This window comes from Homo sapiens, chromosome 12 (assembly GCF_000001405.40).
Source record: "Homo sapiens chromosome 12, GRCh38.p14 Primary Assembly".
Lineage (NCBI taxonomy): Eukaryota > Metazoa > Chordata > Mammalia > Primates > Hominidae > Homo > Homo sapiens.
The window spans coordinates 92342555-92356470 of record NC_000012.12 but is presented as its reverse complement, the minus strand read 5'-3'; the positions used below and the strand labels follow the sequence as shown (position 1 = coordinate 92356470).

Here is a 13916-nt window from a genome sequence, read left to right as displayed (position 1 = left end):
TGGTCCAAGTGGGTACAGGCACACTGTGATAAGGAACTGCTGAATGAAAACATGCTTAAATCTACGAACTCCATTTTCAAAAGCATCCTAGGGAAGTAGTGAAGGGTGCCCATGGGCTATAACTTTTATTCAAAATGTTCATAATGAACAGAGTTGTTTAACACTTTTTCAAATCTAACCTGTGAATGTCGCCACCACTTTGCCTTCTTTGAGCATCACACCATTGAGTTAATGGTATGATGAACCTTCTTGTCCCAGAGTTTGATTACATCAAGAGTGTTTAGGTTTTTTTCTTTAAAGATTAGAACATTTTATGCAAACAAAATCTTAGAAATAATGCTAATTTGTAAGTGATAAAGCATGCTAGTTGCCAACTCAATGTTTACTCTCCCCTTCTTTCTTATTAACAAATCCCTAATTTTTATTTGGGATGGCAGTATGCTCAACTGAAAACAATAAAAACTAGATTCTGCACTTTTCTTTTACATGTGTGGTTATATTACAAAGAGCTAGCCAAAAGAAGATACAATATGAGATGTCCAAAAAAGTTCTTCTAAGAGGTCTAAATCAAATGGCAGGTACCTTTTTTGCTCTTTCCCTTTCTCTCCAGGCTGTATGAATTGTCAACCTGATGGCCATAGCTCTGGCAGACTTCTTAAAAATATGAAGATAGGGCTGGACTCTAAAGATATAGGAAGAGAAAGCCAAAAGGAACATGGGTATCTAATAATTTAGTGGAACTATCATACCAGAGTTTGCATGGCCTACTTCTGGACTTGACTATGTAGGAAAAAAAATTGTCTCAACTTCTTATGTTATGTATTTGAAGATTTCTGCATTAGCAAAAAAAGTAATTTTTACTGTTGATAAACTGATAAATGTCAATCTGTTGAATGTGAAACTGACAAATAGAAAACTTCTCTGGTTGAAGTAAAGGTCAATGGAGGCCAGATTTCCATCTACCATATTATTTGAATTATAACACAGTTACAAAGCAACCTTGGGTTAATATTGGTATTTCTAGAGGTACTAATAATTAAGTGCAGGACCATCTGTAAACTATTTAATCTTGGTAGAGTCATGACCCTTTGCATTGACTGTAAAATGTTATATGAGGTGAAATATTAGAAGAAACTATAATTTCTTTATTATTTCAGAACAAGTGCTAGTAACTCTGGAGTGGTCTAATACAGACCTTAATCAGTGTTGAATAATATGCCTTTTTCTCAGTTTAAGTGGAAAAGATTGGTGCAAAATATAAAAAGATTTTTTCGAGTATCTACTAATTGCTTGGCATTTTATCTATATTTTACCATTTAACCATCACTTCAAATCTATAATGGAGAGAGACCCTATATGTTGCCCATCTCCAGCAGGCCTCCAAACCTATAATGGAGAGAGATCCTATATGTTGCCCAACTCAAGCAGACACTGTTCACATTGAATACAGTAAGAGTGCCCTCTGGAGTGGTACAATGTAGCACCTCTTAAATTAGAGGACATAACCTGTTTTGATTGTCCTGTGTTCCTTTCTTTAAAGAAACAGCCAGCCTCCATTCTATAGCAATTCTATATCATTCATAGGCCTGGGTGGGCCTGACTGTTCCCCTTGCCCAAGGCCTCAGTGTGGTCATTTTGAAATGGGAGTAGTCACCTTATCCCCCTCATGGGACATGCAACAGGGGTGTGGCTTGCTTCTTTGGTGCCCATCTGCTTAAACCCCTAGGGGGTGCATGCAGATGGGCAGGTCCTAGGGAGCATTTTTGGGCTCCAACTCCACAGCAGCGTCTCGGGTTGAGTGTTTACAGTTCCTGAAGCCCCAGTGAGTGCGGGTTACAGGGTGCTCTTTCAGCTTTGCCATCTGTAGGCGGCTTATATTAATCAGCTCAATTAGATCCTCTGCCTTATCGGAAGGACAGAGGTTTTCTGTATCCCAGGTTCTTGCCCTAGCGTACCAGAAAAATCAGATCACATGTGAACTTGGAGGTTGAGCATAAGATTTTATGGGGTGATGAAGGTAGCTCCAAGTGGGATAAATGGGGAGCCAGCAGGGGGATGGAGTGGGAAGGTGGTCTTCCCCTGGAGTCAGGCCGCCTAGGGGCTGGACTGTCCTCCAACTGCCCGCAGCCATATTCTCCTCGGCATATGCATCATTCCACCATCACTGGCCTGCTGGTGTCTGCTGATGTGTTCTTCTGCCCCTCTCAACATCCAGCCACTTGTGTGTGTGTCCACTAGGGTCTCGGGGTTTTTATGGGCACAGGATGGGGAACGTGGCTGGCCAAAAGACAACTTTTTGGGCATGAAAACAGAAATGCCTGTCGTCATTTAGGTCCATGGGCACAGGCTCAAGGATGGAGCCCTAGCCAGGGACCCCGCCCTTCTTTACCCAGCACTTCCCTGCCCCTTCTCATATCAATTTAATCCAGGCTTGGCTTATCTGACCGCTCATATCCTAGCCACAGTTGATACAGGGATGTTCCTGACTAAAGACAGACCAATGACAGTACCCCCTGGAATGCTGCTAGAGTTAAGGAAAAGTTCTTTTGTTCCTCTTGGATCCTGAGTTGTAAAGAGCATATGATCCTGCAACTGCTAGTGGCCATCTCACTATCATGTATCAGAGTTTTGCCTGAAAATGGAGCCATAACATTATTTGAGCACCCGGATCCAGCCATGTTGAAGACGCTTTCAGTTACATGAGTCCATTAACATTTTATTCTTAAAAAGCTAGTTTGATTCTATTTCTACCATTTGCTATCAAGGAGTTTCAACTAAGGCGGGTAGCTATTACCATCTCCATGAAGCTCTGAGAAATTAAGTCACTTGGCTAAGCTGGCTCAGTAATCGATGAAACAGGATTCTAAAGTAGGGTAGTCTGGTACCCACATCCATCTTCTTTTCATTACACTATGCTGCCTGCCAAAACCAGTGAAAATAAATTGATGGAAATCATGTCGATTTATCATTAGGCTTTCTAAAATATAATATTCCTACAAACAGTTTCCCTGTCCCAAATTTCATGCTAATTCCAACTGGTAAATTTATGAAGCAAAGTCATTACTCTTTGTTAGAGAAATGTTTTCATATATACGAAACTTTAAAGAATATTTCAATGAGGCTTGTCAAATTCTTTTTTGAATACCTACTATATAATGGATTGGGATTAATTGTTAACAAAGAAATTTAATAAAGAAACAAATGAAAATAGCAGTCTATACAGAGCATAGCATATTTTTAAGTCACTCTATTCCAGGATCGGAGGTAGTAACACCATAAGCCCAACATCAATAAAATGCTATGACAGAAAGGGGTGGTGTGCCATAGCATACCAGAAATAAGGGTAGTATTTCTAGGCAATAGAAATCACACAGGATTAAATGTGAGGCAATGTGAGGAGGAAGTTCTAGGGCAGTGCTATTGAATAAATCTTTCTACAGTAATGAAAATGTTCTGCTGGGTGCAGTGGCTCATGCCTGTAATCCCAGCACTTTGGGAGGCTGAGGTGGGTGGATTGTTTGAGTCCCGGAGTTTTGAGAACAGCCTGGCCAACATGGTGAAACCTTGTCTCTACTAAAAATACAAGAATTAGCCAGGCGTGGTGGCACACGCCTATGTTCCCAGCTACTCAGGAGGCTAAGGCTGGAGAATCAGTTGAATCTGGGAGGCAGAGCTTACAGTGAGCCAAAACTGTGCCACTGCACTCCAACCTAGGTGACAGAGGGAGGCTCTGTTTAAAAAAAAAAAGTGTTCTATATCTTTTCTGTCTAGAAGAGGATCTTATCTTTCCAGTAGCTACATCTGGCTAGTATCTACCATACTAGTGAGGTAGTGTGGTAGCTGTTGGGCACCTGATGTGTAGCTAATTCTACTGAGGAACTGTATGGCTAATATCTACCATATTGGCCAGTGCAGTTCTAGACAAATAGGCAAATAACACAAGAAAATATATAAGATAGGAAGAATGGAAAGCACAGAGTTTACGTGAAAGATAAAGTAAGTTGTCTACCTCAGCTGGAATTGAGCTTATAAGGAAGTCAAATGAGAAATAATATTTGGTGAAGTTGAGTGGATCCAGATTATGAAAGACTGAACATTGCTTTGGGACAATCGGGAGCTTATGATGTCTCCTGAACTAAGAAGTGTTATGTTCAGTCCTATGCTATGGGAAGATTAAACAGGCAGGGGTAGCTATGAAGAACCAGAAAGGTTACAGAAGTAGAGATGCTACATGTGAGACCACAGTAAGAGTCCAGACAAGTTAATGAAAACCTGAACTAAGACAGTAACAAAGGAAATGAAGGAAAAAGACAGATATGAAACATATCTTGAAAGTAGAAATGAGAAAATTAAGAACTGATTGGAAGAGTTGGAAAGCAAAGAAGAGAAGTGAACTTTGGAGAACAAAAGATGAAAGAGAAATTATAAGAGAAATAGATTTGGTAGTACAGCCATCTGATTTAGAAATAATATTCTGATTTTTGTTTTAGATCTTTTAGGCTTAAGGTGCCAATGTTAGAAATATAACTATATCATTAAAGAGAAATGTTAGAAAATGTGGTAGAAATTTAAGGACCATCCGCATATAAATTAGGGATCAACAAACTATAGCCCTCAGGTCAAATCCAGCCAACTGCCCATTTTCTCAATAAAGTTTTATTGGAACACAGCTTCTCTAATTTGCTTGTATATTATCTATAGCTGTTTTCTAGTATAAAATGAAGAGCTGAGTAAATGCAACAGGCTGTTAGGCACACGAAGCTGAAATTACTTACTATCTAGTATAGAACATATTTGCTGCCTCTGATATACACAGTAGAAATCACCAGAACACATGAGATCCTAATAATTTTAATATAAGAAATTCTAGTATTCACTGGAGTTTAATAGAATACTCTGTTTACTCTTATCATTACATTGGCACATCTATAACATACTAATATTCGGAATAAAAATACAGAGTTCCTCTATGATCCTAAAATATCTCTTGGATCACCAAGAAAAAATTATTCTCCATATAAAAATACTCCTAAATATCATGTGTTTTTGTCTAGATATTTGGAAAGCGGTTCTCCTTTTATGATTTATATTTGATTTTCTATTAACTATAGTATTTTATTAATCAGAGCACTTCGTTCTCTGTGTATGCCAAGTGATATATATGTTAAGCCATATGAAATTCTTACTTTGTTAATGTTTCATCAATTCATGGAAACTAAACTGGATCTGAAACATAAGTTTCAGATTCAAACTTGTGTGGTCAGAGAAGTATGGGCAGCTGTTTATATCTTACAGGGAGAATGTATTTAAGTATTAGTATTATCTTAGTCCGTTGGGGCTGCTATTATAAAATACCTATACTTGGTGGCTTATAAACCACAGAAATTTATTTCTCCCAGTTTTTGAGGCTGAGAAGTCCGGAATCAAGGAACCAGCAGATTCAGTGTCTGGTGAGGTTCCACTTTCTGGTTCACAGACTGCCATATTCTTGTTGTAACTTCACATGGCAGGAGGGACAAGGGGGGCTCTCTGGGATCTCTTTTATAAGGTCACTAATCCCATCATGAGGTCTCCATTCTCATGACCTAATCACCTCCCAAGGGCCCTACCTTCAAATACCATCACATTGGGGGTTAGGATTCAACGTATGAATTTGAAGGGACACAAACATTCAGTCTACAGCAAGCATAATTTAAAAAATGAAAGAAGAAAAGAAGGGAGGGAGAGAGAGAGAAAAAAAAGAAATACAGGAAGAAACAAAGAAAAGATGGATGAAATAAGCATGAACTTTGAGGTCAAACAGATTTAGATTTAAAACTTTCTCCTACCACTAAAGTATGTGTGAACTTGGGCATGTTATTTAACCTTTCCAATGTCAACTTTTTTACTGCTAAGCTGTAAATACCAACTATTCCGTAAGTTTGTTCTAAGCATAGGTTTTCAAATAAAATACTATGTCCAGTCAAATTTAAATTTCATAAAAACAGAAGAATTTTTAGTATAATTATGCCCCATGTATATTTGTCATTTATCTGAAATTCCAGTTTAACTGAGCATGGTAGGCTCAATAATAGCCCCAAATATGTCTATGTCTAATCCCCAGAACCTGTAAATGTTACTTTATATGGCCAAAGGGACTTGCAGAAATGATTAAGCTAAGGATCTTGCAGTGGGGATATTATTCAAAATTGTCTGGTGGGCCCAGTATAATCACAAGTGTCCTTATGAGACGGAAGTTGCGGGAGGAGTCATAGAAGATGATGTGATGATAGAAGCAGAGATTACAATGATACTCTTTGAAGATGGGGCAAGGAGCCACAAGCCAAAGAATACAGGTGGCCCCTAGAAGCTGGAAAAGGCAAGGAGATGAATTCTCCTCTCAGCACCTCCTAAAGAAACCAGCATTGCAAATACCTCAGCTTGAGTCCAGTGAAACTGATTTTGGACTTCTGACCTCCAGAACTGTAAGAAAATAAGTGTGTGCTGTGTTTAAGCCACTAAATTTGTGGAAATTTGTTATGGCAGCAATAAACAATTATACTGAGACCTCCTGTATTCTTATTAGCTAAATCTGGCAACCTTGCTAATGATTAAATGCAGTAGACTAGCACAAACTTCCCCTTAAACATGGCAGAGTGAACATGTGTATTTATCTTTGCTCCCTGCCAAACCCTCACCAAAGTTAAATAAAAGAATAAATAATCTATAAATCCATAAAGAAGGAGGGGAAATGAGAAAAAAAGCAAATATAGATGTCAATCTAATTTTAGAAACCGGAAGGGTGATAACTGATTTAAACTGTGACCATAATACTGATTAAAATAGGGAAAGAGTTGAAACTTTAGATTATAGAGGATAAACCCAACAAGAAGTAGCTAATTCATATTGCAAAACTTGGAGAGGCTCAGACATTAGAAGCATTAGGTACTACAGCAGGCAGTACTGGAAACTTGTTGAGAATCTGCTGAAGAACCAGATACCAAATCCTTTCCTTTACCCCTAAACATCAAGTGACTATTCCTTACTCACTCTGCAAGAGATACAATGCTCATTTTCTGAATACCTTATAAGAGACTCCGGAGTCAGAGAGATCAGGCACACAAGATCAGGCAAATGTGATGTCCTCCTGTAAAATGGTGCAAAAATGAAGCATTACATACAGGTTGATACATGGAAAAGTAAAAATGAACCTCCTTCTCTGATTGTATTTCAAGATGCTAGACATCAAGATTATACTGCTTAGGTGGGAAATTAGAGTATCCTGTCCAAGAAAAAGTATCTACAGATACTGAAAATTTGGTTTCCCAGAGCAAAATACTGGATCCCTGCCAGATTAGCCTACTGTAAAGTTGACCAGTTAAAAACCTCTTTCACACACAGAGTATGTCCAGGTAGCTATTTAGTCCCTCACAGATTCAGGGAGACAACATATACCTCCAGAAGTTTGAGAGAAAAACATAAGGAACCAAACCAAATAAACAGAGAAATCATAGAATACAGAAATAGTGCAGAAAGTAGAAAAAATCGTTACAACATCATAATTAATGTCCTCAGAGAGAGAAAGAATGCTTTATAAAAAGGCAATCATCAGAACAGGAATGAACATAGGAAATTTAAAATATGCTAGCTGAACTAAAACATTCAATTAAACACTTGCAGAATAAAATCGAGAAGATCTCCCAGAAAGTAAAACAGTACAAACATATGAAAACATTATGAAAGAAAAGAAAATCTGAGGATCAGTCCAAGAGATGTATCCATGAGTTATGACAAGGATGAATCCTAGAGAGACCAGAAAAAACAGAGGGAAAGAATTTATCAGATAATTTTTTTAAATGACGATCATGAGCCCTTACATAATAGAACAAACAAAAACAAGATACACACCAAGTATATTATCATGACCATCCGGATCACCAGAGCCAAAGATAGGATTCTAAAGGCATCCAGAGAGAAAAAACAGGTCACATATAAATAGGTTGACCATCCATCATGGTTTGCCTGGGATGATCCCAACATACACTTGTCCTAGAATCATATTTGCCTTTTTATTTGTCTGGTATTTATCAGTTCTTAACAAATTATGATTATTAGTTGCATTAAAATAATCCATGATGGTCTTATAGGCCTCTATTTTGTAGTTGCAGCTGCTGCTAAAAGTTTCATCTAAAGCACATGAGATGCATTTGTAATAACCAGTATACTCACTTTAATACATGGTTAAACCTGAATGACCACCAGCAATTACCCATCTTTCTCTTCCTTACCCTTTTTTTTTTTTTAAATTTTTGTCTTTAATTTTTTTTTTTAGAGACAAGGTCTTACTCTGTTGCCCAGGCTGGAGTGCAGTGGTGTGACTGTAGCTCTCTGTAACCTCAAACTCCGGGGCTAAAGCCATCCTTCTGCCTCAGCCTCCTGAGTAGCTAAGACTACAGGTATGCATCACCATGCCTGCTTTATTTTATTTATTTATTTATTCATTCATTTAGTAGAGACAGGGTCTCACTATGTTGCCAGGCTGGTCTTGAACTCCTGGCCTCAAGTGATCCTGCTGCCTTTACCCTTTTTGATGCAATATAACTATTTTTTTTCCTTCAGAGGACAGCATTTCTTGCTGACAAGAAAAGGAAATGCACTCTGACACTCACATTTTTTAGTCAGAGGTAATATTGAATGCCAGGACTCTGCTAGCCACTGTGTAACACCTAGTTGTTCTGTTTCTGCAAGATGTGTGAAGTCCCCAGGAGGTAAGGCAGTGGCAATGTGGGAAATATAGGTTAAGGGTAGGCCAAATATGAGTGGGCAGTAGAGTCTGCACTTATGTGAAGAGCACATAAAGAGTGGTCTTAATACATTTCCTACAGTGGTTTTGTCATTTAGTTTATTTCAGAAATCTAAAACTATTTATCTTGTTGTTAGATAATATTTTTTTTTATTTTGCAATAAGCTCTTTTAGCCCTAGACAACTAAACTAAGAAAAGTTTATGTTTAATTAAAAATGATGTGCCTAATTTCCATTTTTCAGAAAACTTGAGGGGATGAATAGCTAACTTGCATAAAATGTTTGTCAACATTTCCCATCTGTATTAGCATTGTCACCAGAATGTTGTGTATAAACGATTTTGAAACACAGTGGCTTCGCAAACAGGCATTTATATTTATCCTCAAGAGTCTGCAGATTGAGGTTTGGCTGACTGAGAAAGGAATCAGCCAGGTTATTTATTTATTTATTTATTTATTTATTTTTGAGACAGGGTCTCACTCTGTCACCCAGGCTGGAACGCAGTAGTGCAATCTTGGCTCACTGCAGCCTCGACTTCCTGGGCTCAGGTGATCCTTCTACCTCAGCCTCCCAAGTAGCTGGGACTACAGGTGCAGGCCAACACGCCTGGCCAAATTTTGTATTTTTTGTAGAGACAGGGTTTCACTGTGTTGCCCAGGCTGGTCTCGAACTCCTGGGCTCAAGTGATCTGCCCACCTTGGCCTCCCTAAGTGCTGGCATTACCAGTGTGAGCCACCATGCCCAGCCTGCCATGATCTTTTCATGGAAGCTTATAGGAGAATGCAAACAAGTAAGATCACATAACATGTAAATATTTGACTCCTGTCAGGTTTGCCACATTCCATTGGCTAACGCATGTCATATGAATAATCCAGCATCCATCAGGGGAGAAAGTAAATGTGGACTGAACACTAATCCACACTATCACCTTTTTTTTTCTTATCATAGAAGCCATAGTAATACCATTAATCACATGACAGCCAGAAGACACAAATCTAATAAATATCAGCATCTATTTCAAAAGTTATTAATTAAACCAAACTGTACTGGAAGATGACAATTTAACATGTGCTACTAAAGAAAGTGCATTTGCCTATCACTCCATGATGCATGACTTCATTTAGATCAAACGACTAGTAAGTTAATTTTGCTAATTTATAATTTCAAATCTTTTTTATACATGTTAAAGATGAAAGTTTTTTTAAGTATTGGTTTCATTAGCAGAATATAAACTTCCTAGAGTTCAATTATGCCAATTTTATATCAATGTCATTGAATGTTAAACAAAAATTAGTGAATTCCAATAATAGAAAGGTTTCTTTCATGCAATCAAAATGAACCATTTGGAATTGCATTTTATAATATTAAAGGCAAAATGCCAAATATTATTAGGAATATTATTGTAAAATCAATTAAAAGGTTCCACATTGAAGATACAATGTTTGCTTCTGCAGTAATAATGTGATATGAAATTTGGCAAAGCAAATAATGAAACTCATAGAGCAGAAATTTACCTGGAATTAGTTATAGTGTGTATTAGTTCATTTTCATGCTGCTGATAAAGACACACCTGAGACTGGGAAGAAAAAGGTTTCATTGGACTTATACTTCCACATGGCTGGGGAGGCATCAGAATCATGGCGGGAGGCAAAAGGCACTTCTTATGTGGTAGCGGCAAGAGAAAAATGAGGAAGATGCAAAAGTGGAAACACCTGATATAACCATCAGATCTCACGAGACTTATTCACTACCATGAGAACAGTATGGGGGAAACCGCCCCCATGATTCAAATTATCTTCCACAGCCTCCCTCCCACAACACATGGGAATTATGGGAGTACAATTCAAGATGAGATTTGGGTGGGGACACAGAGCCAAATCATACTATTTCACCCTGGCCCCTCCAAATCTCATGTCCTCATATTTCAAAACCAATCATCCTTCCCAACAGTCCCCCAGAGTCTTAACTCATTTCAGCATTAACCCAAAAGTCCACAGTCCAAAGTCTCATCTGAAACAAGGCAAGTCCTTTCTGCCTATGAGCCTGTAACATCAAAAGCAAGCTGGTTACTTCCTAGATACAATGGGGGTACAGGTATTGGGTAAATACAGCAGTTCCAAATGGGAGAAGTTGGCCACAACAAAGGGATTACAGGGCCCATGTAAGTCCAAAATCCAGTGGGGAAGTCAAATTTTAAAGCTCCAAAATGATCTCCTTTCACTCCATGTCTCACATCCAGGTCACACTGATGCAAGAGTTAGGTTCCCATAGTCTTGGGCAGCTCTGCCCCTGTGGCTTTGCAGGGTATAGCCTCCCTCCTGGCTGCTTTCATGGACTGGCATTAAGTGTCTGTGGCTTTTCCAGGTGTACGGTGAGAGCTGTCGGTGGATCTACTATTCTGGGGTCTGCAGGATGGTGGCCCTCTTCTTATAGCTTCACTAGGTGGTGCGCCAGTAGGGACTCTGTGTGGGGGCTCTGACCCCACATTTCCCTTCTGCACTGCCCTAGCAGAGGTTCTCCATGAGGGCCTCGCCCCTGCAGCACACTTCTGCCTGGGTATCCAGGCATTTCCATACATGTTCTGAAATTTAGGTGGAGGTTCTCAAACCCCAATTCTTGACTTACAATTCAAGATGAGATTTGGGTGGAGACACGGAGCCAAAGCCTATTATAGTGCATACATAATCCATAGTTGCTTTTAAATAAGCAGCAGGAAAATCAAAGCTATAGTTGTCAAAACTTACAAATAGTTTAACATACACATATTAAGTAGTTTATATATTTATATATAGTTACATATCTGTGGTCTGAGCACATATATATACATATATATGTAGTTTGTATATTTATAATATATATTTATATATAATATATATAAAGCAGTTTAATATATAAAGTAGTTATATATATATTTATTTATATATATATATATATATTTGAAGTGAACCATAACGTATTTGTTTATATGAAGCTGACATTAAGAAAGTTAAACAAAAAAATTATATTCTGGAAGTATCTATTTTCTCTCTTTGTTGCTTATCTTAAATTAGATTTTATAAATATTTAAGCCTTTGAAGAACTATTTTTTAATAATAATATCAAATGAGAAGTCTAAATTTAATAATACCAAAATGAGAACTCTAAATTTTCAAAAATAGTTAGAAAAACTTTAATCAAAATATTCAAAAGAAATGGAGCACCAAACTGGCTCTCGAAGTTTTTAGTGATTATAGTTATTAAAAACAAATTTTTCAGATAGAAAGACATAATTTATTCTTACAAAAGCAAGGAAGGAACAGAACAAATTAAACAATGGTAACTTGCCTGGTGAACAAAATTTAATTTTGAAATTCTGTGTTTTTAAATATCTCAACTTGCAAGAAAAATCTTTTCAAGGACCTCTACTTTAAAATAGTAATTTATATTACATGTGCGAATGAAATAAAACTAAGAAGCCTATGATTTTTGCAGCATCAAAATTGGCAAAACATTGAAATAATTGCAGATAGAAAAAACTTATTCAATGTATTTTGTCTCCTAAAATGTATTTGAAAAAAAGGAGGCACTCTGAATAAAGGGTATGATATAGTACCTTTAAAATAATTAGACCAAAATATTTATACAATTCAATAACCCCCTTAAGAATATCCTTCATTGAGCAGAATTGACTCTGCAGTTACAAAATACCTCAGCACATATGAGAGTATTTTCTCAGTAAAAATATTATGGCTTTTATGATCAACAGAGAAAAAGTCAATAAAGGTTGTCAGAAATGTCAAATTCATTAACTATTTTAAATACAGCTTTAAAGAAGATTGTAGGCAGTTTTGTGGAAAAACATAATAAGACCGTTGGTGGATCACAGAGGATTTCTAGGGCAGTGAAATTACTCTGTATGATACTGTAATGATAGATGTATGTCATTATAAATTTATCTAAACCCATAGACTGCACAACACTAGGAGTGAAACCTAATGTAAACTATGGACTTTGGATCATGATGTGCCAGTGCAGGTTCATCAGTTTTAACAAATGTACCACTCTGGTGGGAGATGTTGATGATGGGGGAAGCTATGCACGTGTAGGAGAAGGAGGTATATGGAAAATTTCTGTACCTTTCATCCAGTATTGCTATGAACCTAAAACTGCTCTAAAACAGTCTACTTTTATTTTTATTTATTTTTTTTTTAAGTTAGGCACAGTGGCCCATGCCTGTAATCCCAGCATTTTGGTAGACCAAAGCAAGAGGATTGCTTGAGGCCAGGAGTTTGTGACCAAACTGGGCAACATAGCGAGACCCTGTCTCTACTAGACAGATAGATAGATAGATAGATAGATAGATAGATAGATAGATAGATAGACTCTCTTGAGGCCAGGAGTTCAAGACTAGCCTAGACAACGTAGCGAGTCCTCTTCTCTACAAAAAATTTAGAAATTAGCTGGGCATGGTAGTGCATACTTATAGTCCTAGCTACTTGGGAGGCTGAGATGGGAGGATTACGTGAGCCCAAGGATTCAAGACTGCAGTGAGCCATGATTGTGCTATTGCACACTCCAGCCTGGGCAACAGAGTGAGACCCTGTCTCAAACTAAAAAAAAAAAAATTCTTCGGAAAATTTCTGGTGTCATGATACTAGATCTACATGTAGCTTTTAATGATTAAATTACATAAGTAGTACCAAGAATAATTGTTGCCCTTATACTATTTTTAGTATTCAGGAAATCAACATAAAGAAGAAGATTTTTTTTAATTTATAGATTTAAAAAAAATTAGACAGAATTTTAAAACTGTACATTATAGCCCAATCAGTATATTATAATAGTGTATTAGCTCTGGAGTGCTGGCGTGGCACTAATGCTTATCACCATCACCAAGGCCAGCTCAGCAGCAATGACCTCAGAGCCTTGCTTGGTCTGATCTAGAGGAGTCCTCACAATGTGTGGACTGCTAGGACCTTGAACCCAGGCTGCACCTTGGGAGAGGAAGCAAGGGAGGTACTAAGAGCCAGAGTTGATACATATATAGCCTAATGCTTAGGTGGATCTTTTGCATTGCATGTTTGCTGCTTTGATAGTAATTCCAAGGATACACAACTTTAGCCAAGAAAAAAATCATTATTCTCTCCAATTTCTC

At 37.6% G+C, this 13916-nt stretch overlaps 2 long non-coding RNA genes across 3 annotated transcripts in view; one reads left to right on the top strand and one right to left on the bottom strand.

The window, feature by feature from the left end:
- LOC105369902 (uncharacterized) overlaps nucleotides 1–7126 on the bottom strand; it is a 39059-nt gene extending 31933 nt beyond the window's left edge. Inside the window, exon 1 of the long non-coding RNA XR_945203.3 lies at nucleotides 7064–7126. This is a non-coding gene — a long non-coding RNA (uncharacterized LOC105369902). The remainder of the gene's footprint in view (nucleotides 1–7063) is intronic.
- Nucleotides 1–13916, top strand: part of LINC02391 (long intergenic non-protein coding RNA 2391) — a 104570-nt gene that overhangs the window by 7362 nt on the left and 83292 nt on the right. The gene's annotated exons all lie outside the window — the stretch shown is intronic.